The 23,711-nt window shown below is 42.7% G+C and overlaps 1 protein-coding gene across 7 annotated transcripts in view, besides 1 other annotated feature; it reads left to right on the top strand.

Moving 5' to 3' along the window:
* SLC16A12 (solute carrier family 16 member 12) overlaps window positions 1-23,711 on the top strand; it is a 126,406-nt gene that overhangs the window by 19,648 nt on the left and 83,047 nt on the right. The window contains exons 1-2 of one of the 7 annotated variants that reach the window (NM_213606.4): window positions 1,463-1,615; window positions 2,417-2,556. The exons of 3 other annotated variants lie outside the window; for them this stretch is intronic. The gene's annotated coding sequence lies outside the window, so the exon portion shown is untranslated. Of the gene's footprint in view, window positions 1-1,082; window positions 1,374-1,462; window positions 1,757-2,416; window positions 2,557-23,711 lie in introns of those variants that run through there. 3 more of the 7 variants (XM_017016237.3, XM_017016239.2, XM_017016238.2) reach the window with 3 other exon arrangements.
* Window positions 2,297-3,196: an enhancer, noted in NCBI's record as "OCT4-NANOG-H3K4me1 hESC enhancer chr10:91293618-91294517 (GRCh37/hg19 assembly coordinates)". NCBI's record gives its function as "activates a minimal SCP1, AML or CMV promoter by ChIP-STARR-seq in naive H9 embryonic stem cells {active_cell/tissue: H9 hESC(naive)}" and the evidence as "EXISTENCE:reporter gene assay evidence [ECO:0000049][PMID:30033119]".

The following is a 23,711-nucleotide window of genomic DNA, read 5'->3' as shown; positions in this document are numbered from 1 at the left end:
GATCAGCCTGGCCAACATGGTGAAATCCCGTCTCTACCAAAGATACAAAAAATTAGCTGGGCGTGGTGGCACGCGCCCGTAATCCCAGCTACTCCGGAAGCTGAGGCAGGAGAATCGTTTGAACTAGGGAGGCGGAGGTTGCAGTGAGCCAAAATCGCACCACTGCACTCCAGCCTGGGCGACAGAGCGAGACTGCTTCTCAAAAATAATAATAATAATAATTCCAAAAAGCCTAATTCATTTTGAAATTTTGACATACAGCGAAATCACCAGGGAATCTTGCAAAAAATGCAGATTCTGATCCGCGGTTGGGCCTGAGATTCCGCATTTTTAACAAGCACCCAGGTGATGACCTCGCTGTTGGTCTACGGGCCACTCTTGAAGAAGTGAGGACGTAGGCTCCAAGATATTGGAACCAGACCTTGTCAGTTCAGAGGCCTTGCTTCTGACAAGGAGAGGACTTTACAGAAAGTTCGCCTGGAACCTGTCCTACGTGGGGTACGTCCTGGCAGCTCCCTTTTCAGGCTTTGAGTCAACGTTTGGGGAATTGTATTATGTACCGGGCGCCTACACCTCACTCATTTCATACTCGCAGCAACAACATGAAGTGGGCGCTATCATCCTTTGTTTTACAAGCAAAAGTGAGGCTCAGAGAGTTAAATTGCCCAAGGTTATGAGATTTTCAGATGCGTTGAACCCAGGTCCTTTTGACTCCAAGAGATAACGCTTTTCACTAGCATTCTGGAGCTTCAGTTTCCTGTGCTGTGAAATGGGAAGGATTGGCTAGCAGGGTCCGGATCCCTGCCAGATACACCTAAAGGAGGCCTTGTATTTTTTCTCGAGATCTTGCTCTTTGACCCTGAGGGGAAAAGTTCTTTTTGGGAACACCGAGCTCCCCTCGGCTTGCCGAGGTCAGGGGTCATGGCTCTTCCCGGGGAGGGTCCGGCAGTCCTAGAGCGGTTTGGCTGGGGACACAGAAAGCCGGTGCATTACATAACCGCGAGACGTCCCTCCTCCGCTGCGCCCCTCGCCCCTAGCCAAGCCACAGTACTTAGAGCGGATCCCCGCGCTAAATCCTCTTTGCCGGCCAGGCAGAGTCCCCGGCGGAGCTGGCGGGGCTGAATGAGCCGGTGCATTTCGAAGGCCGAGCACTGGGATTTTCCGCGCTACGCTTCCCTCTCCCGGCGTTGCCAGCTAGGCCCCCGGCCCCAGCCTCGCCGGCGCCTCCGCCCAGTCCGCTCCCCGCCCCACCGAAGCGCGGATCGCGCAGCCTGGGGCCCGGGAAGGGGCCACTGCGCAGGGACGCGGCTCGGCGGGTGCGCCCCGGGGGCATGTCCGCGCGCTACCGCCAGGGCTGCAGTGGTCCCGGCGAGGTGAGGAGGCGGCGGGGCCGGGCTGGGGGCGGGTGTGGCAGGAGGGCGGGCGGGGCATGGGGGTGGTCTGCGCGCTCTGGGCGGGCTGCAGAGCGCTGGAGCGCTGGAGCTCTGGGCTGTCCCGGGCTCAGTCTCGCCGGCGGCCCCCGCTCCCGGATCCCCAGCGCCCTGGCCAAGAAGCTTCCTCGGCTCCCCCTCTTCCCTCTCCCTGACACGGTTGTGCAGAGGGCGCGGTGGCTCAGGTGACACGGGCATCCTTCAAGGAAGGGCGGCGGGACGGCGGGGCGCTGGCGCTGTCGTTGGAGCTGGAGGAGGACGGGGACCCTCCATTCTCCGCTGCCCTAGCGCCCATCCCGCGCCGGGAGCCTGGGACCCTAACTTGGGTGCGTCGGCGCGCAGCTTGGGTTGGGAGGGAGACACGTGCTCACTTGCCCTGTCTGGGTTGGGTCTGCGCTGCGGCCGAGTTTTTGGGCAGGTGGCTGGAGAACGAGCGGCTTTGATCTCCATCTCTTGTGGTTTTCAAATGCAGACTTCTCGGTGGAATAGAGACCATCTTTCTTCTGGATTTTATGTTTATAGTACATTTTAAAAATCTCTCCCCGTCCCCCACCTCAGACAATAATATTTATTTCCCGTGTGTGCTATATTAAAAACACACCGGCTTTCAGTGGATTGAACTCAATTTCTCAGTTGCTTCTTGTCCACAAATAAACCAGTGATACCTGTATTGTGGACTCGGAAAAGCGTTCGTAACAAAATTTTGAAGCACAATTTCAGTAAGTCCTGGGGCTATTTGGTTAGTCTTCCGTTTTCACACATCAGCATTCTAAACCTCTTATACTATTTATTTATTTAGAGACAAGGTCTCGCTCTGTCGCCCAGGCTGGAGTGCAGTGGCGCGATCTCAGCTCATTGCAACCTCCGCCTCCCCGGCTCCAACGATCCTCCCTCCCCAGCATCTGGAGTAGCTGGGACTAAAGGTGCGCGCCACCACGCCCGGCTAATTTTTGGATTTTTTTTTTTTTTTTTTTTTTTTTTTGCAGATACAGGATTTCGACATATTGGCCGGTTTGCTCTCGAGCTCCTGGGCTCAAGCGATCTGCCCGCTTTAGCCTCCCAAAGTGATGGGATTACAGGCGTGAGCCACCGTGCCTGGCCATAATTTTTAAAAATGTCTAGTCAGGTGAGTCCTGCCAGGAAACTGGTTAAACACTCTCCTTTTGAAGAGCCTCTAATTAGTTCATCCTACCTGGTTCTTTGCTCAGAGCTAGGCACTCCCGCGGCGTCACCAGCTTAGCCCAGGGGGAAAATCTTCCGGCCTTTCAAATTCAGAAACACATTCGCTCCACAGGTGTAAGCTCGCTAACAGTTAAAATCATCAGCTAGCTGCCCTTGCATTGTTTGTCGCTCCCCCTCCATAAATGTCGTGCCAAACTGTGGCTAATGGTGTTTGACATCCTCCACCCCCTGCGCCCCCAAGGTGACCGGATGTTTGCTGAAGAAATGAAGGATGTAAAAGAGTAGTGGTAGTAATTAGGTGAACTGGATTTAGTCACTTATAATTACAGGGTTTAGAGAAACTTTGAAACTGAAAGGCTTTGGAGACCATCTACTAAATTCAAACTCTTCACGTTACAGCCCAGGAAGCTCAGATCCAGATTGGCAAGGATTGGCTGAATTCATACTGTTAACTGGTGATGGAATCAACACTAGAATCCAGATCTTCTCATTCCCACCTAACTCAGTTTTCCAAGGCATATTGCCTCTAGGCATTTTGAGCAAAAATAATATGACTAGCATCACCTAATCACATCATTTTCCTGTTCTTATTTTTTATGTTTTTTTTTTTTAACTGATGGGATTCTGAAATAGATGAGAGGTTGATTTAATCAAATTGCTTTTGTGGCACAATTTTTAAAGGTGCAAACCTTTAATTTTAAGTAATATTTTAAATTATTTTTATATTATGGATATACAGATACTTCTCAGGTGAATGCCCAGAAGAAGAAAATTAGTCCAAATAGATGGGAGTAACTCTACCCCCATCTTTCCTTGGAGTCTTTTCTGATTCTCAGCACCCTCTATGGTAATGATCGATCAGAAGTAAAAACATGAATTATAGTGTTGAAGTGTTTTATATGAGGACTGTTTGTTTATTGTGATTAATACTATGACCAAAACAAAGCTAAGAAAGGAGTTTCAAAGTGACTTATTTAACATTGCATTGCACTGCATATTTTTCAATTTAGTTCAATTGAGCAGATATTTATTGAGTGCCTACTGTATGCCTAGTGCTGTTCTGGGCATTTGGGATATGTCAATGAACAAAACAAAGAACTTTGATCCTATAGAGCTCAAGTTGCAATTTATTCACTAGAATTTTTCCAGGATTTCTTAGGCAGGTACAAGAGAATTTCAGTTTTACCTAAGCAGGAAAATAAACATAAGTGATCCAAACTATCTTCCTTCCAATCCTGCAATTCTGAGAATCTTATAATCATGGAAAAAAAAAAAACTAAAAACGACAACAACAACAACAAAAAAACAAATTCAGGTGAAGTTACTTTGACTTTTATGAGCTGACATTTTACTGTAAGTGAATTGCAGTTCCCACATTTGGTTATTTAATATATGTTCATTTGGAGTCAATGAAATTACATTTCCTTTATTGCAGGGAGATCACCTTGGTGACTAAACTTGAAGCACGGGATGATTTGTTTTCTTAAGAGTGTTAGTGGTACCATGTTAGTATTGGAGACTAATTAAATTAGTTTATAAGATGTTGCTTTTTATTTATTTATGAAGATGGTGTTCTGTTGTTATTTTGTCTCACTTTACATTTTGTCCCCCACTTTCCTCCATATTCATAGACTATTAGACATTCCAGTTTTAAGCATTTTCTAATTCTCTCAATTGCTTTTTCTTCAAAACAGCATAGTTTGCAAGCTCAGGCATGTTTATTGTTTTTAACAAAGGCTTATCGAAATGAACTTGGCAGTTTTTCAGTCGTATACAGCCAAAGAAAAGTATTCAGTGCCGCTTTTGGGGTTGTTTATGCATTCCTCACCTAACCAGTTGCTTTGCTTTTAAAAATTGCCAATTTGGAAGCTATTTTCTTATGAGTACCTTTCCAGTGTATATAAAAAGTCACCCATTGAAATGATATAATAATTTAATTGATGAAAACTAAATACACAGTTGAAGAGGTTGGGGGATTTTGAACAGAAAGATTTTCCCTCTGATAATATTTTTAATGTGCTCTACATCAAAGGACATCAGAAAGTGTCATTATCTAACAATGTCCTGTTTGAAGGTGGTGTCTGTTGAACATTTGGGGAACAGTCACAATTTCTGATGCATGCTAGGCACCTGGAGTAGCTGATTTTTTTTTCTTCATTCACCCACCACTGTGCCCCATCAGATACATATCCTTCCTTCATTTACCGCGCATTGACGAGTAGGGTTAATTGCTGTAGCCAGGTAAGATGTTGCATGAAATTAATTAATTATTTAATTAGTGTGCTCATTCATTTATTAATTTAATGAATATTTATTGAACTTCTACTTCTTATTAAAAGATTTGTATAAGGATTTGTGTGAAGACTGTGTTTTGAGCATCTCTTTTCTGGTGCTGGTGACAGCAGGACGTGTAAAGACACAGAACATGCCTCTGATGCAGCTTACATCCTGGTATGGAAGAGAGGACATTGTATGGCTAGCTATCATACCGATTCAAACTACCATAAGAGATGCATAAGTACTTTGGGAATTAAAAGGAAGAAGAGAGAGCAGGCAGGCACTGTGAAGATTTGAGGGTTAGGGAAGACTTTGTAGAGGAGGGCCCATTGGAGTTGCTTCTTGAAAGATGGTAAAGCACGGTAAAGCTTTTATAGAGGCAGAGGATATACCTATCTTTATGGCAGCACATCCTTGCCTCTTTTTGAAGACACGTAGAGAACTTCCTCTTGGGAACCAGTTGAGGCTGTGTTGGGTCATATAATAGACACTTATCACCTCTCTGCCCCTCTACATGCATGTGACTCTGTTCTGCTTAATGAAATACTGCCCAACACTGAAACAACTCATTGGATTAACCAATGCTCTCCTCCTCTGAACCACATCCTGGTGGTTGCTCAGACACAGAGACCGCTGTGGGAAATAGCTATCATCTTAATAAATTTGTATACTTGGCTGTTACTAGGTCAGGTGCATGCTTACAGCGGTGTTTGGTTACAGTCCAGTTTATGCCAGTTGTACTTTGCTATTGTATTTTTGTTTTTTTCTTTGAGACAGAGCCTTGCTCTGTCACCCAGGCTGGAGTGCAGTGGTGTATTTCGACTCACTGCAACATCCGCCTCCCTGGTTCAAGTAATTTTCCCACCTCAGCCTCCTGAGTAGCTGGGATTACAGGCATCCACCACCATGCCTGGCTAATTTTTGTACTTTTTTTTTTTTTAGTAGAGACAGGATATCACCATGTTGGCAAGGCTGGTCTCGAACTCCTGACCTCAGGTGATCTGCCTGCCTTGGCCTCCCAAAGTGCCAGGATGCTATTGTAATTTTGTGATTTAATGAAATATTGCCTAAACCGATGTAATATGAATGCTAAACAAAGAATGGTATTTCTGTGAAAACTAAGTTGATCGCTATATGGACCCATAAAAGTAAGTAATGTTAAAAAAAATATATCAACACATGCTGCGACATGGATGAACCTTGAAAACATTATGCTAAGTGAAAGAAGCCAGATACAAAGACCACATGTTGTATGATTTATATGAAATGTCCATAATAAGCAAATGCATATGAACAAAAAGTGGATTAGTGATTGCCAGGGAAGTGGGGTAGGGGAAATAGAGAGTGACTGATGATGGATGCAAGGTTCCTTTTTGGGGTGACGGCTATGTTCTGGAATTAGATAATGGGGTGGTGGTTGCACAACATTGTAAATATATGAAAACCACCAGCCGGGCGCCGTGGCTCACACCTGTAATCCCAGCACTTTGGGAGGCCGGGGCGGGCAAATCACAAGGTCGGGAGATCGAGAGCATCCTGGCTAACACGGTGAAACCCCGTCTCTAGTACTAAAGTACAAAAAATTAGCCGGGCGTGGTGGTAGGCGCCTGTAGTCCCAGCTACTCGGGAGGCTGAGGCAGGAGAATGGCATGAACCCAGGAGGCGGAGCTTGCAGTGAGCCAAGATCCCGCCACTGCACTCCAGCCTGGGCAACAGAGCGAGACTCCGTCTCAGAAAAAAAAGAAAAAAAAAAACCACCAAATTTTACATTTTAAAAGTATTAAAATAGTGAAGTTTATGTGAATTTTATCTCAATTTATAAAAGGACTATAAAGCTTTTTAAAAAGCAACATGAACAAGCAAATTACAAAAGGAAGAGGGATGAGTACTTAGGTGTGGCATAGTGATAAGAGATTTGAAGAGTACAGTAAAAATTTCTAGAATGATTTTGCATTCAGGTTTTTTCACAAGCTCCAATAAGGTCCTGATCCTCTTTAAGAAATGGAAGCAGGAAATCTGGATGTGGATTAACCAAGAAAAATAACATAGAACTCCAATCATGACCCAATATCCAAAGATTAGTGAATGAATTTTTTGTTTATGAAAGGAATTGAAACAAAATGTTCAAAATATGTTGTATCAACTTTTTGACTCTGCTTTTCCTGACTTCTGATTACTTTACTGCTGAGAGCTTCTAATGTTTCCATTTCTGAGGGTACCCTGTATATTTTGAAAATAACTCATTTCTGTATCTAGAGAGAAATTCCATGTCTATGAGCCTCTTATAGATATAGCATTAGTCACTTAAGACTGTAAAGGAGGCCGGGTGCAGTGGCTCATGCCTGTAATTCCAGCACTTTGGGAGGTTGAGGCGGGTGGATCACCTGAGGTCAGGAGTTCGAGACTAGCGTGGCCAACATGGCGAAACCCCGTCTCTACTAAAAATACAAAAATTAGCTGGGCGTGGTGGCACGTGCCTGTAATCCCAGCTACTAGGGGGGCTGAGGCAGGAGGATGGCTTGAACCTGGGAGGTGTAGGTTGCAGTGAGCCGAGATTGTGCCACTGCACTCCAGCCTGGGCAACAGAGAGAGACTGTCTCAAAAAAAAAAAAAAAAAAGACTGTAAAGGAAATTGGGACTCAGTTTCCCAACTTCTGAATCACCATAAAAATCAGCAACTGTTTCCCCCTAACACCGTCTTCTGGCTCGGTGGTTCATATATGTAAACAAAGTAGCTACATAAAGTGTTAACTATACCAATACTTAAAAATTATCACCCAAATCATTTGTAGACTATGTTTTTTTCAAAATATTCCTGAGCACAATTAATCATTTTGTGGTTTATTTGACATATTATAAATTAGGGCCATAATTACTTATTTTGGGATTCCACTTTGCTTGATGGAATACTTTCCATGGGAGTGAGTTCATATTTATCTACTGAAACCAGATGTATTTCTTGAAACAGAAATTTCAGCTCTCTGAACCTGTAACTTCAAAGCAACCACATTCATAGCCCCCGAAGGAACCACCAAAAAAATAAAAACTCACGACAAAGTTAAATCTCATAAGGGAGAACAGAATGCTGCTTCTTCAGGCAGTGATAGTTCAACCAGACAACTATCAAAAACCAGCCTTAATCATCATTATTAAATAGTTATGAATAGGGGTAGCCCAAACTCACAGGCATAAATGATATAAAAAATAAATGGTCTGTTCAGGTTGACACCTGACAACCTAGTATCCATAAATCAGTTGATTGAAGACTCTGTATCAATGGTTCTCAACCCCACCTACACATTAGAATCACCTGAGGAAGGAAAAAAACTGGTACCAATGTCCTACTCTGAAAAATTCTGATTCCGTAGGTCTGAGATACAGGGCTAGGGTATTGATAGTTTTTAAATCTCTCTGGTGAATCTCATGTACAGCCAGGGTTGAGAAACTATGGACATATGTAATAATAATTTTGTGCCTCTTTAGAAAAAAATTTTATTGAAACATAAAATTTCATGTGTGGTATATTCTTAACATATAATGGAAATTTTTTGTGTGTGCATTTTCTCTATAGAGGGCCCATTCATTATATGGAAAGCTTTTCCCAATGGTTGAATGAATGTTCAGTGATTTTTTTTCTTCTCTGTGGAATTCACTAGGCTTATGTGTATAAGATGTCAAAACAACCAAATCAACACAATTGATATAATTACTGTCAACCAATGAATTAATTAACCAACTATTTTCAAGTTTTTGATGATTGTGGTACCATATGGGTATTTTTGTTTAGGACAATAATTTGGCCTTTTACTCTACAACAATAATGTGTTTCCTCTAAAATACTTACAGATGTGTCCTTTATTATGTGTTTCTTTAAATTGATTGAGTTGTCAACCTTAATACTCAAACTTTCTCTGAAAACTTTCTGTTTTTATTCAATTGCATCAAATTAAATAAAAAGGGTTATCTTGGGACAGGGTCTCTCTTTGTCACCCAGGCTGGAGTGCAGTGGCCTTATCAGGGCCCACTGCAGCCTCGACCTCCCAGGCTCAAGCAATCCTCCCATCTCAACCTCCCAAGTTGCTAGGACTACAGGCATGAGCCACCATGCCTGGCCAGACTTTTATATAAGAAAGATATTATATAGGACTCTTACGTAAGAAAGATAGGAGTTTAAACCTTGCCCTATGTGACTTCAACAAAGTATGATTAATTTTAGAGCTTTCCTTGTCATTAGGATTTATTGTTTTTGAGAAAATGTGGTGAGGTGACTGATACAGATTCTGAAGATTTATCTAGTAGACTACTCCTACTTAGAATTCACCTCTTTTTTTCTTTTCTCTCTCTCTCTCTCTCTTTTTTTTTTTAAGAGATGGGGTCTCACTGTCACCCAGGCTGGAGTGCAGTGGTGCAATGATGGTTCATTGCAGCCTTGAACTACTAGGCTCAGGCAGTCCTGCTTCAGCCTCCAAAGTAGCTGGAACTACAGGTGGGCACCACCATGCCCAGATAAATAATTTTTTTTTTTTTTGTAGAAATGGAAATGGAGTCTTACTATGTTTTTCCAGGCTGGACTTAAACTCCTGAGCTCAAGCAATCCTCTCTCCTCAGCCTCCCAAAGTGCTGAGATTATAGATGTAAGCTACCATGCCAGCCCCTTATTTTTTTAGTTTTATTATTTTTTTTTTGAGGTGGAGTCTCACTCTTTCACCCAGACTGGAGTGCAATGGCATGATCTCGGCTTGCTGCAACCTCTGCCTCCTGGGTTCAAGCGATTCTCCTGCCTCAGCCTCCTGAGTAGCTGGGATTACAGGCACCTGCCACCACACCCGGCTAATTTTTGTATTTTTAGTAGAGACGGGGTTTCACCACGTTGGTCAGGCTGGTCTCAAACTTCTGACCTCAAGTGATCTGCCCACCTCGGCCTCCCAAAGTGCTGGGATTACAGGCATGAGCCACCACGCCCTACTCAGCCCCTTATTTTTTTTAATTTGTTCTTATTTGGTTTTAATGCTCATGGAGATTCTCACCCACTGTTACCAGTTAGCTTCCCCAAATTACACTTTAACTGTTGATTTTGTAATAAAAATAAATAAATTTTTATCCACGAATAAAAATCTTAATGGATTTTGGCCAGTAGATTTTAAACTGTATTTTGCAAATTCCTGGGAGTATCAGGGAGCACCTCTGGAGCTGTGTTACAGGGCATGAGGGCAATGGGTGGCAGACCGATGTCCAGCTTCCAGCTTTGGGCTCCTTTCTGGTGGCCCCTTCTGCTATCTGAGTAGGTGTTCTGTTCTTGATTTCTTAATGGATTTTGGCCAGTAGATTTTAAACTGTATTTTGCACATTCCTGGGAGTATCAGGGAGCACCTCTGGAGCTGTGTTACAGGGCATGAGGGCAATGGGTGGCGGACCGATGTCCAGCTTCCACCTTTGGGCTCCTTTCTGGTGGCCCCTTCTGCTATCTGAGCAGGTGTCCTGTGCTTGATTTCACATATTTGGTTTCCAAGTAAGATTTTATTTGAACAAAGGATTTCTTGGCCAAAACAAGTTTGTAAGTGATTGGGCCACATGTTTCTAAGTTTCTGCTTCCTGTTCCTTGCCAAATTTGTTTTATATTCTGGCAGCTCCTAATTGTTTCAAGCTACGACTGCGGATCTGTGTTGAAAAGCCTGGGAAATCTTCGGTCTTAATAACTTTATAACTTTGATGCCTGTGGGGAGAGATAACCAAGTAAGCAGTTAGATATTTACAGCAAGAACTATAGCTTGGGAGTTATCAGTATAGGGACTCAGTTCAAGTTATATGTCTCCCCAGGAGAGTGTTTCTAGAGAGGGGTGAGATGGGTCAAAGATCAAATTCTGGGGAATAGCTATGCTGGGCTAAGTGCCGTTCTCTGTATTCACGTTAACCAAATGTGCATTTTGGTTAATGAAGTTTGCATTTCATATTTTAATTTTATAATTCCCCCATGTACAGTTGTACATAACTGCCAAAAGAGTTGATGCATGGGTATATATGTGTGTGGGGGCGGGGGGTAGCATGATGGGGTCAGAGGACAGGGCTTGGAAACCAGCCAAGGATGCTTATCCTTTCTTTGAAAACCCTGCATCATGCACAAATCACTGGGGCCCCTTCTACATGCAGGTTGAAGTGCACAATGAGAGGATAAACTTGGGTGGTTACCTAGTGAATTTGGCAATTCAGACAGCTGTTGTGGCATTTTTTGACATAAAATTATTTGTTAAGAAATATCACGGTTTCTTACCTTAAAAAATCCAGACATTTCCCCCGTATCTTAGTTCTCCCTTGTGGAACTTGAATAGTGACTGCTAGGTTTTGGGTGTGATCCCATGGACGTTTAGGTCAAATCCCCACTCCACATGGGTCTGTAGCTAATTGTGTTTTATTGACACAGACTCCACCCTCAATGCCAGCCGGCTCTTTGGTAAATTTAGTCATGAGGAACACCTGGCAACAGCTACTAACTTAATTAAAAAATTCAAAAACACTCTTAGAAAAAGGCAGAGTACCTAGATAAAGAACAAATAAATACTCATAAATAAGATACTTGTTAAAATTATTTTACCGGATAATTGAAGTGTTCCAGTGATTAAGGGACTCGTCATTTTATCAAAATTAAGCCCCATACATTTTTTCCTTCCTTTCTTACTTGCTGAGATTGACTTCTTTCGTTATCTTCCATATCCAAAAAAAGATCAAATTTAGACAACCATATATTCTGATTTTATTACAGATGAAGATCTAACTAAAATTTCAAGTTTTGCTCAGTAACTGATGGACCCAAATTGGTATCTCAGAATGTTCCTGGCATATTCTGCTTTCTTTGTCAATTCTTGCATGATAGTATACCTAATTGACTGCTAATGCAGGCTCTGTTAAGGTGAAATTTCAGTTTAGCTTTTTTTTTTTTTTTTTTTTTTTTTGATATGGTGTCTCGTTCTGTCGTCCAGGCTGGAGTGCAGTGGCACGATCTCGGCCCACGGCAACTTCTGCCTCCCAGGTTCAAACAATTCTCCTGCCTCAGCCTCCTGAGTAGCTGGGACTACAGGCGCACGGCGCCACGCCCAGGGAATTTTTTTTTGTATTTTAGTAGAGACGGGGTTTCACCATGTTGCCCAGGCTGGTCGCAAACTCCTGAGTTCAGGCAATCCACCCGCCTCAGCCTCCCAAAGTGCTGGGATTACAGGTATGAGCCACTGCTCCCGGCCTCAGTTTAGCTTTTAACAGCTTTAAGCAGAATCTGTAGAAGGGACATTTGATTTAGATGAAATAGAATTAATTACCTTTAAAGTCTCTAACAAAAAATATTGTGATTAAACAATGCTGAAAATAACTTCATGAGTTTACCTCTTCCCAGGCAAACATGCACTGAGGCCCTGCCATGTGTTAGACAGTGTTCTTCCTCAAAGGCTTGCCTTTTTCTGGGGAAGATACTTCCCAGGAGATGGAAAGCCTTTGAGGAAAGGCCTCTGTACACACAAGTGTGTGTACAAAGTATCACAGCATTGGAATGAGTCCCATAAGTGATCATCTGCTATGGACGTGCAGAGCCAGAGGCACTTAACGTTGCTGAGGTTGGTCAAACCATTAAATAATTGTAGAAATTCGCAGGTTGAACCTTCTAGGCAGTAGGAGCAACAGGTGCAAAAGCGCTGAGGTGGGAATTGCCTTGGAATTGAAAGCACTGCTCATCTTCGGATGGTGTGGCATGGCTGACAGGTAGGGAATATGTGTGGCCAGGGGTCTGGAGAAGGCTAGAGGAGCAGGCAGGAGCGAGAGCATCAGGGTCTGGTACATCGCACCACCAAGGGGTTTTGATTTTTCTTTGAGTTTTTGAACAAGGGAGTGGGTGGGAGTGGGGATTTGGTGATAAAATTAGCTTGTGTTTCAAGCAGTTAACTCTGAATGGGGTTTGAAGAAAGGCCCCAGAGGGTCTGTTAAAATGGTGCAGATGGGAAATAAGATTAATGCCTTATGGTAAGACTTTTATTTATTATTTTTATATTCCTGTTGCTTGGTGCCCTATAAGGCATGTGGTAGAAATGCGTGGTAGAAAGTTTGATATTCTGGGCAAGAAATTCAAAATTGTATCATCCGCTAAGAAGCTCAGTTGAAATCACTTGTCTGGATGTCTTTTCCTGAGGAAAAGGGAAAGAGTGAGGTATGAAACAGGTTGAAGAACTTGGGGGAATAACTAGACTGTGCTCACGCGATACCCAGGGCATCTCTCAGTCATTGCACCTTTTGTTTTATTCTCTAATTATCTAGCTGTGTTTTGGTCTTTTTCACTGGTCCAACAAGAGGGCAAGGACTATGTATTCTTTATAGCTTCACTGCCATTGCACAACTTTGGATGGGGTCATTTATATGCCTGTGTAGTGTGTCTGCACTGTGAATAGTGCCTGGAGTAGTGCTTCAGCTTAACTGGTCCTAGCAGCTGTCATGGTACCTGACATATGGTAAGAGTTTAATATGCTTGTTGAATGAATGAATGAATGAAGGAATGATGACACAACATATAATGAGTGGTCAGAGGAAGAGAATCTAGCGAAAGAAACTAAGAAGCAGGGGTTGGTAGGGAAGAAAGATAAATAGTAGAGACTCCTATCATGGAAACTCAGGGAAAAACAAGTTTTAGTCATGACAGAGAGGTCAACAGTGCCACATTCTACAGAGACTGGCCAATTAAGAATGCCAGAGTAAACACTGGCAATTAGGAGTCACTGGTGATAATGTCAAAAACAGCCTGAGTGGTGTGTGGAGGACACAGGAGGCAAATTCCCTTCCATTGAGGTGGGAATGGGAAGAGAAGCAAGGAGATTGTCAGTATAGACAGGACCTTAGAGGGTGGGTTTGTGAAGGGAGGATTCTAATCCGTGAGAGCCAGAAAGGGTGGTAAGGCTGAAGGGGAGTTTTCTTCCCTGCTTTTTCCTTCTCTTCCCTTCTTTTCTCCCTCACATTCTCCCTTCCTGCTTTCAAGAAAAGAGACACATGAGTAAATTTATAGGCTAAGGAGAACCCAGTGAAAAGGTCTAGGTTCAAAATACAGAAAAAGTAGTAAAGGATACTAGCTGGCAAGACTAAATATAGAGTGACAAGTCTTTCTTTGAAACAGGAAGAAAAAAGATAAGGATGCATGTGGATATGAATAAATTGGAGAAATAGGAAATGGAGGAAAATAATAAACTGAAAGAAAGGAAAGGAAGTGGAGGAAAATCCCATCTAAGGTCTCACTTGTGTCTACAAAATAATAGCTAACGTGTTTTGGGCACTTTCTATATCGCAAGCATTGTTAAAATACCTTACATAGATAACTCACTAAATTCTTTCCACAACCTTTTGAAGATGGAATTGTCTTAATTTACAATTGAGGTAACTAAAGTACAGAGAGGTTAAGTCACTTGTCTGAGGTTATAGAGTGACTAAGAGGCAGAACCAGGATGCAAAGCTGTGTACCATCATGCTGTACTGCTGAAAATGAGGGGCACATGGAGTACTTAAGACTTCAAATAACCAGTGTATGTAAGGAACAAGTGCAATACATTTTTGCTGAGTCACACCAAGCACTTAGTTTCTGTTGGAATTCATAATTATGTTTTGCCATTAATCTCCAGGATTGAGAGATTTCCTCTAGTAAAACTTGATTTACCAGTTGTAGAAGTGGAAATGTTTGGGTGTTCAGATTGATGCAGAATTGGGGGTTAGTAGTTTGAAACAGAGGTGCTTCTAGCAAGAGAGCAATTGAAGTGATGGACCATGAGGTCTAGCAGCCAAGAAGAGGGAAAAGAGAGCAGGACCAGTTAATGGAATGGGGGAAAGCGGAGCAGCAAAGGACCCAAGGGCTCAAGGGGGTTGAAAACCAGGTGCAATAAGAGTTAGGGTGTTGGAGATGTTTGGAGGATAGACAGTTGGGATTCAAGAAGGATACTTAATTCTCAATACAACTCTAGATTTCAGAAGTGAGGGCTGGCTTCACCTTGTGATGACAGGTAGATAGTGTGGCTTTGGGAGTACATGGCTGAAATGGATTGGAGGTGAATGCTATGGGACATGAGGTGGTCAAACTTGACGCTGAGAATGGCAAAGCTGCTGGATAGATGTTGACTGGGCCCTGCCTCTCATTGGAGGATGGTTCCTGGTAGTCCTAAGGACGGTCTGGACTTCAGGAGGACACAACCCAAGTATGGGCAGTAATATGGAAAGATACAAAAGGATAGCTGGTTTCCGGCATACAATAAAGACCACTTGATGATCTCAATAGAACATTGTCAAAGGACAGTTGCATAGCTTACATTTTGCATGGCAGTGTTTGAAAAATAACTCGAAGTATGAATTGGCAAAACAACACACATCACAGGTAACTTTGGATGCTTCAGCCAGATTACAATTGAAAGAAAAGACTACATGCCCTGATGAAACCTCCTCCTCTTCTTCCTCCTCCTCCCTCTTTCATTTTTCCTTGTAATGTGCAGTGTGACACTCTCTGGACAGAGAGAGGCAGCTGAAGATCATCAGGCTTCCAGATGTGGAGCTTTGTTATGACATGTGGGGGTGAGGGTCATGGGAGAGGGGCCGGAAGCTTCAGTAGGACTCAGTGTGGTGTCCTCTGCTTCTGTAGTTTAGCCATGTGATGGGAAACCAGCAATATGTGTTTCCTTTGTACAGCTGTACATATCATTGTTTCTTTTTCTCCTCTGCCCGTGTAGGATTCTAGGAAATCAAAGTTAGATCTGATGTAAGCTTAGAAAGCCCCACATATGAAGATATGGAGCTATTGCTCTGTGACAGAATATGTGTACTAGGTCTGATCCATAAGTGCCATGCGTAGAAAATGTAGTTGGTAGCACGTTTTGGGGTGTAAGGAACAGAAATCTCGACTTGGACTGGCTTTGTTGGGACTGGGATCAGTTACAATGGGATCAGCTACAATGTCTATGACAGAGACAAGGCATTATTGTCAGATTCAGACAGCCTTACTAAGGGGAAGGAGCCTTGGCTGGCAATCAAGTCCTCAACTTCAGCATTTGATAGCAGCATGCACTTGGACAGATATCACCTTCCATGAGCCTCAGTTTTCTCTTACAAGACCATTGCAGGGATTGAAAGCACTTTACATAAACTCTAAGTAGCTATACAAATGTGACTTACTCATTTAATAGTAAAAATAATGACAATAACAAGAATACTTCCATTTACTGAGCATGTACGTGTTCCAGGCACTGGCTGGAGGCTTATCTGCATTCTCTTTATTACCCACTAAATACATAACAAGCAATGATCATATCCAGGCACTCTAGTAAGTACTTTATTTCCAATCTCAGTTAAGCTGAGATCTGAAACATTAAGGCTCAAGGGCAGGGGCAGAGAACAGGTATGGGTTCAGTTTCACCCAGGGGTTCCATTTTTTTTTTTTTTTTTTTTTTGGCCTATGTGACCCAGTAATGGCAGCTGACATGGGGCCTTGGACAGTTCTTCTATCTGCCAGGGATTGTCATTTGCTAACTAGTTCAGGGCTAACTGCATGGGTGATTTCCAAAACACAAGTGTACGTGTGCTTTTAAAACACTCGATGCTTTTGTTTCTACTGTTCTTTTCTGAAATGTAAGCTTTTTGCATTTTTAAGCTTTTGAAATAGTTGAGGGATTTACAAATGCTTATTGAGTTCTAGTATATGTATTGGCTAATTTGAACCTCATGAAGAAGTCAAGCTTGAATTTGTATTGTATTAAGGCTTAGTGACCATGGGACCTGTCAGTAAGGTTTGAAGTTAGAAGGTAGGGGACATAATTTTTTGATGTTGCAAATTGCCTTGCTTTGAGCATTGTGTGAGATGATCTTTTTCCATATTTTTGGTTTATATTGTTATGATAGTTTTCCTGAAGCAGCCTTGGTAGGTGGGTCAAAGGGTTTGAACTTCTTTTTATATAGATAGCCTGATTGTTTTGTGGAAGCTTTTTGGATGGTGACAATGATATACTTGTAGTGCTATTTGAGAAATATGCGTTTTTCTCTTTGTATGATTTTTTTTTTTCAGACAGAGTCTTGCTCTGTCACCGAGACTGGAGTGTAGTGGCGCGATCTCGGCTCACTGCAACCTCCACCTCCCAGGTTCAAGCAATTCTCTTGCCTCAGCCTCCCGAGTAGCTGGGATTACAGGCGCCCACCACCACATCCAACTAATTTTTGTATTTTTAGTAGAGACAGGGTTTCACCATGTTGGCCAGGCTGGTCTTGAACTCCTGACCTTGTGATCTGCCCGCCTCAGCCTCCCAAAGTGCTGGGATTACAGGCATGAGCCACCGCACCCGGCCTTTGTATGATGTTTTATATGTCTGGGATTATAAAAGATTTCCAAAAAATCTGAGTCATTCTGTTGACATGTAACATTCTTTTCCTCGGACCCCCCCACCCCCTGCAATGACAATAAAAATGATGTTTCCATGGTTCAGCCTGTACTAGATCTTGAGGAAATCCAGCCTACATCAATTCCTGCCTATTAGTTCATAAAGTCTCGGGGGGAAGCTAAACTTGTGCATCTGAATTCATCCTCGCCCTGGTGTGAGTTCCCTCTCAAGAGGCTTCCTGATCCTGTGTGCACATACACTCCCTGAGGGCCTATATTACAGACACATCTGTTTTTTATTCATAGTTCCGGTTCTCACGCTGGGATCCCTGCTATACTCTCAAACAATTTATGAGTAAATTGACGTGGAAAACGAAGTGGGAGATACCAGTTTTTGCTGATAGGGTATTTTTTTTTCTTCTCTCAACTTTTGTTTTAGGTTTAGGGGATACATGTGCAGGTTTGTTCCGTGGGTAAATTGTGTGTTGGTGGGGTTTCGTGTACAAATGATTCACCCAGCAGTGAGGATAGTACCCGATGCGTAGTTTTTTGACCCTCACCTTTCTCCCACCATGCCTCTTCAAGTAGGTCCCACTGTCTTTTGTTCCCATTTTTGTGGCACAGTATCAATATGGGATATGTGTTTTGGAGTTGTAGTGAAAGTGACAAGACTTTCATTCATATAACTGAATGTCCCATAGAATTATTTCAACAATTCCTAAAATACTTCTCCCCAACTGTTCCTGCCTGCCCTAAGATATACTAATGCTGAAGCTATGTAGCAACCACCACTATTCTTAAATAGATTTTTAAAATATCATAGTTGTGATCATAGTGTATATTTAGTATATAATATATATTGAGTATTTATATTTTGTTTTCTGCCTGTACATTTCCCCAGGTAATTTTAAACACCTAATGGGTTAGATATGATAATAGGAAAAAGCAAAAAGTGGGACCACCCCTGCCACATAAGGGTCCACCAGCAGTGACCAAAACTGTGGCCAGGATTGTTGGGTAGGTGGAAAGAGAGTGCTCTTTGGGGGCTGGGCCTCAGAGTAACCCTATGAGTAGGTAGAAGATGGAGGCCCAGGAGGTCACTTGTTCCAGGTCACACAGCAAGTCAATGGAAAGCCTAGATTTCAATCCTAATCTTCCTAAATCCAACTTGCATGTTCTTTGCTTTTCTTCGTTTCTTTTTCCAGATTTGAATTTTTTAAATCACCTCGAAAATAATCCAGGCTCTAGAGAAGGGAATAAAGGAGATACTGCTCCCTCCACTGTCTCTCATACCTTAGGCTTGCACCGTGAACAGTTTGGTGTGCTTCCAGGCCAACTTCCTTGCATGTACAAATTGCCTAAGGAAACCAGCTATGCCTGTCACCAGCCAGACAGAACAGCTGCTGGGGTTAGGGCACGACTTGTCTTCTCCAGGACCTACCTCGGTGAGGCTTGTGGCATGCTGGGCTCTGGGGACCAGGACACACTGAAGTTTAACAGCAACAGAGAGAAGCCAGAGTGCCCCTGGCAGCCAACCTTTTGGGAAAGGAGAGCTATTTGTGCTCTCTGGCTTTCTGCCTGCACTGTTCTGACTTCCCAAGCAGAGAACAGAGCTCCTTACCAGTGGAGGGCTTCATGGAGGCCCAGGGACTGCCTCTTGTTTATCTCTGTTTTTCCTGTGCCTGCATTTATTGGTGCCCAGCTACTGTTGCATGAAAGGAATGAAGATGCCCTAACCCTAGTTCTGCTGGTAAATCATTTGAGTGACTTTGAGCAAGTCACTTCAAGATTAGAAGCCTAGTCTGTTTTCCCCAAGTCTAAGGTGCCCTTTTTTCCCTCCTTATTTTAATGTTTCTGAAATAAGATGTGATTGGCATCTTAGGTGTATATATTTAATATAGTAGTGTTTCTTAATTTTTCCTTTTTCTTGAAAAGTTGTAATAGGGGGATAACTCACAATGTATGTTATTCTAGGACTGTTGGAATATGGCAATCATTTTCTTGAAGGATTGTTGAGATAGTGGCTACCTCCTGTGAACTGTGAAGTTTTATATAAATATCAAGAATCAGAAAACTGCCCAGCTGTGTTGTTACTGCCCAACCGCCCCTGTTTCATTATTTCTCAGAGATGCCCAGACAGGAACTTCTTGATTTAAAAAGTAATGACATTCCTCTATTCAATAAAGTTGGAGCCAGGTGCAATGGCTCATGCTTGAAACCCCAGGGGTTTGGGAGGCCAAGGCAGGAGGATTCCTTGAGTCTAGGAGTTGAGACTAGCCTGGGCAACATAGTGTGGCCCCAGTCTCTACAAAAAAAAAAATTAATTACCTGGGCAAGTGGCATGTGATTATAGTCCTACCTACTTGGGAGGCTGAGGCAGGAGGATTGCCTGAGCCCAGGAGAGGTTACAGTGAGCTATGATTGTGCTACTGCATTCCAGCCTGGGTGTCAGAGTGAGACCCTGTCTCTTAAAAAAAAAAGAAAAGGTGGTATTCTAGGTACATTTCTATTCTGTCCCGTCGCCCTGCCCCCCATGGAACTCAATAAACTATTTTGTTTTTATTTTTTATTCTTTTGAGATGGAGTTTCACCTTGTCACCCACGCTGGAGTACAGTGGCACAATTATAGCTCACTGCAGCCTTGAACTCCTGGGCTCAAGGGATCCTCCTGCCTTATCCTCCTAAGTAGGTGGGATTACAGGCACATGCCATTGCACCTGGCTAGTTTTTAAAATTTTTTGTAGAGATGGGAGTCTTGTTGCGTTGCCCAGGCTAATCTCAAACTCCTGGCCTCAAACGATCCTCCTGCCTCAACCTCCCAAAATGCTGGAATTACAGGTATGAGCCATCATGCCTGGTACTATTTTTATTTCAAGTGAAACAAACAAGTAAACATGGCTTTTAAACATTTGAACTTTTCTTAAATTAGGCCTTAGCAAGAATCAATTGCTTACTATGGATTTAGTGGATTCCTGGCCCTTACTGGAAATATCAGTAGGGCCACAAAACTCTTAAACAGAACGTTAGTCCAAAAAAGAAGTGTTGGGACTCAAACTGAAAATAAGGAAGCTATTGAATGCTTACAATCTTCCAGGTGACATCAGGGGATCAAAAACAATTACTCAGACACTCTATTCCTGTCCAGATAGAGTTAAGTTTGGAGGGAGCAAAGGTTGCAAAGCCTAGGAACTGAGCTAAAATTTCACTTTCCAGCTTAATTCAGCCAATTTGCCCTAATACCAAGTCTGAAGGAGTTTGCAATCTAGTAGGAAACAATTTACCTTGCCAGTTAAAAACATGGTGCTAACCAAATCACCAGTGGAAACAAGATCACAGAGAGAGTATTTACATTCCTAAAAGAAATCTCATCAGTTATTTAGAGTTTCTATTTTCAAGTTAATGGTCTGTCACAGCATTTAAACCAGAGGTTGCAAAGACAGACGTTTTGGGGGCCTCCAGTGTGAAGTAGCCGAGTGGTGACATCATCGGGAGGGGCTGGACCATAGCCAAATCAGAGAGGACACGTCAGGGCTCATTCTCTCACCATTCCATAGATACTTAAGTTCCGCTCTTGGTGATAGGGATACATCAGTGAACAAATTCAACAAAAAATTCCTGCCTCTCGGAGTTTACATTCTAATCTGCTGCTGTCTTAGAAAACAAATAACTAATAAGAGTAAATGAGTCGGACACACCGGTGTGTTCCTGTGAGTAAATTGTATGGACTTAGATTTTGTTCGCTTTTAGGCCCTTTTCACACAGCTAAGATTCTGCATACATAAGATTTACTATATAATATACGTAGAGTTAGTTTGTTTTTGGCGTTCTGCTTGGTCTGATGATATAACTTGCCAAATGACCATATTTATAAGATATAATTGGCTCTGCAAGGCAGTACTGGTTTATTTAATTCTAGTTTTGCTATTTAATTGAAAATGAAAGCTCATTGTGAAAAATCCCATTTCTTTCTCCTGTTATGGTACTGATTGTGATGACTTTCTGTGGTTAATTCATGATGACTTAGTGATTTACCATGGCCACAGTTATGAATTCCATGGCTCTGGGCTGGAGAGTGAGGGGGTGCTCTTGCAAGCCTGGTTTTCTTTGGGCAACACAAGCAGGGCTTTCTACACTGTGACTCTGATGAGATCACTATAATAACAAGCCTGGGAGCTTGGACCTGGGAAACCATATGCCTTTTCTTGAGCTTCTTGTGGGAAAACGGGGATAAGAAGCATCTGGAACTGCACTTATCTTCAGTTTCGACAAGTGGAACTTCTACTGTGCCTGTAAAGTGAGGCAAAATGGATCGTTGTTGACAGAAAAAAAGCAGGTGGCTGGAGGGGAATAGAGCCCTCCGACACTGACTTCAATATCCTGGGTGACTCTGTTTTAGCAAATGAATGAATACCGAGGATATGAATGTCTGTGGCATGGATTCCTGTTTCAGGAGGCTCTTTGCATGTGAACCTAGGAGCGCATTAATTCTGCTGAACAAGGGTCTTAACATTCCCAATGTGGGGGATTTTTCACTGGAGGGATTTGAGAGTCCTGACAGGCTGTATGTATTACAGAAGTGGTCTTGGGAAATCCATGTGTCCTCATGTAATCATCATCCATTGAAATTGCTCCCCAGTACCTAACAGGCCGCTTTTCTTTTCTTTTTTTTTTGTTTTGTTTTGTTTTGTTTTGTTTTGCTTCTTTTTTTTGAGATGAAGTCTTGCTCTGTTGCCAAGGCTAAAGTGCAGTGGTGAAATCTCGGCTCACTGTGACCTCTGCCTCCTGGGTTCAAGCAATTCTCCTGCCTCAGCCTCCCAAGTAGCTGGGATTATAGGTGCATGCCACTATGACTGGCTAATTTTTTGTATTTTTAGTAGAGACGAGGTTTCACCATGTTGGCCAGGCTGGTCTCGAACTCCTGACCTCAGGTGATCCCCCTGCCTTGGCCTCCCAAAGTGCTGGGATTACAGGCATGAGCCACTGCACCCGCGCACCCGGCCCGCTCCTTTTCATCTCTACAAAGTACAGTGGGCACTATTGTGGATTGATGGGTCATGTCAACCCAGATTTATGTTTAAGCCCTGTAAACATTGAGGAAACATTGTCACCCCCAATGTGATGGTATTTGGAAGTGGGGCCTTTGAGAAGTGATTAGGTTTAGATGAAGTCACAAGGATGGAGTCTTCATGATGAAATTAGTGTCCTGATGAGAACAGGAAGAGAGAAAAATCTGTCTCTCCCCATACATGCTCTGAGAAGGGCCATGTAAGCAAGCACACAGCCAGAGGGCCATTGTCTACAGGCCAGGAAGAGTGCCTTCACCAGAACCCAAGCATGCTGGCACTCTGTTCTCAGACATCCAACCTCCAGAACTGTAAGAAAAATGTCTATTGCTTAAGCCACCAGCCTATGGTATTTTGTTATAGCAGCCTGAGCTAAGACATACACAGTCCTCTGATAGTATCATTTCTTTCTTATTTGACTTCAGTGACACCAAGCTCTCCTGGACTGCTCTTTATCTTTCTGGCCACACTTTCTCAATTTCCTTGCAACCGCCTCTTTTCCTAACCCTTCCTAATCTCTTTCTTCTTCCACCTACCTGCAAGGCACCTTGCTACTCTTACGGTCTGTAGACCAGTGAAGGCGTCACTTGTGAGCTTGTCAGAAATGTGAATTTCAGATTCCACCCAAATCTGCCAAATCTGAATCCGCCATTTAGCAGGTGGTACCTAGGAAAATCTGAGAAGCCCTGCTCTTTAGGATTTCAGTTATCAACTGAATGATCTGATCTCCAAGTATACATCTGGACACTAGATCTCTCTCCTAGGCTCTTGACCAGTTCATCTAACAGGTCCACTTAGAGGTCTCACAGGGATATCACACTTTTATCCATCCAGAATCTGACTTCTTTTTTCCCATATATGCCTCTCCTTCTTTGAGCAACCAACAAAATATAGGACCTTTCCAGAAAGTTTTACTTAAGAATGCCCATTTAACCACATACTCCTGGTTTAAATGGTTTCTTTGGGGTCAGGGCTAATTGTCAGCTGGTGGGCACTGGTCTGACTAGTCCCTTGTTCTACTGGTCTCTGATTTCTCAGTGTTATCAGTCTCTTGCTAAATATTTTGATTTTTACCCATCAAGTCACATTTGATTAGTAACAAGTCTAACTTTTTATCTTCTGTGATGTTTCAAGGTATACATTTTATAAATATATTAAGTATTAATCATTATATTTGTTATTAATTCATTACAGATGCAAGTGGTAAATAAATATTTTTAATGGTGAGGAAATATGATATTCTCTAATTTTAGTGTCAGATTTTCAAAATATTTGTGAATGACCACAGTGAGTCCAAAGGAAGAACCATCAGGAATGCAGTGTGACCTGATATGTCACATGATTGAATCACACATCTTTTTGGGAGAGAGAAATCAGAGACAACGTAACTGT

The sequence above is a fragment of the Homo sapiens genome, chromosome 10 (genome assembly GCF_000001405.40).
Source record: "Homo sapiens chromosome 10, GRCh38.p14 Primary Assembly".
NCBI lineage: Eukaryota > Metazoa > Chordata > Mammalia > Primates > Hominidae > Homo > Homo sapiens.
The sequence above is the reverse complement of the archived record's forward strand: the minus strand, read 5'-3'. Positions and strand labels throughout refer to the sequence as shown.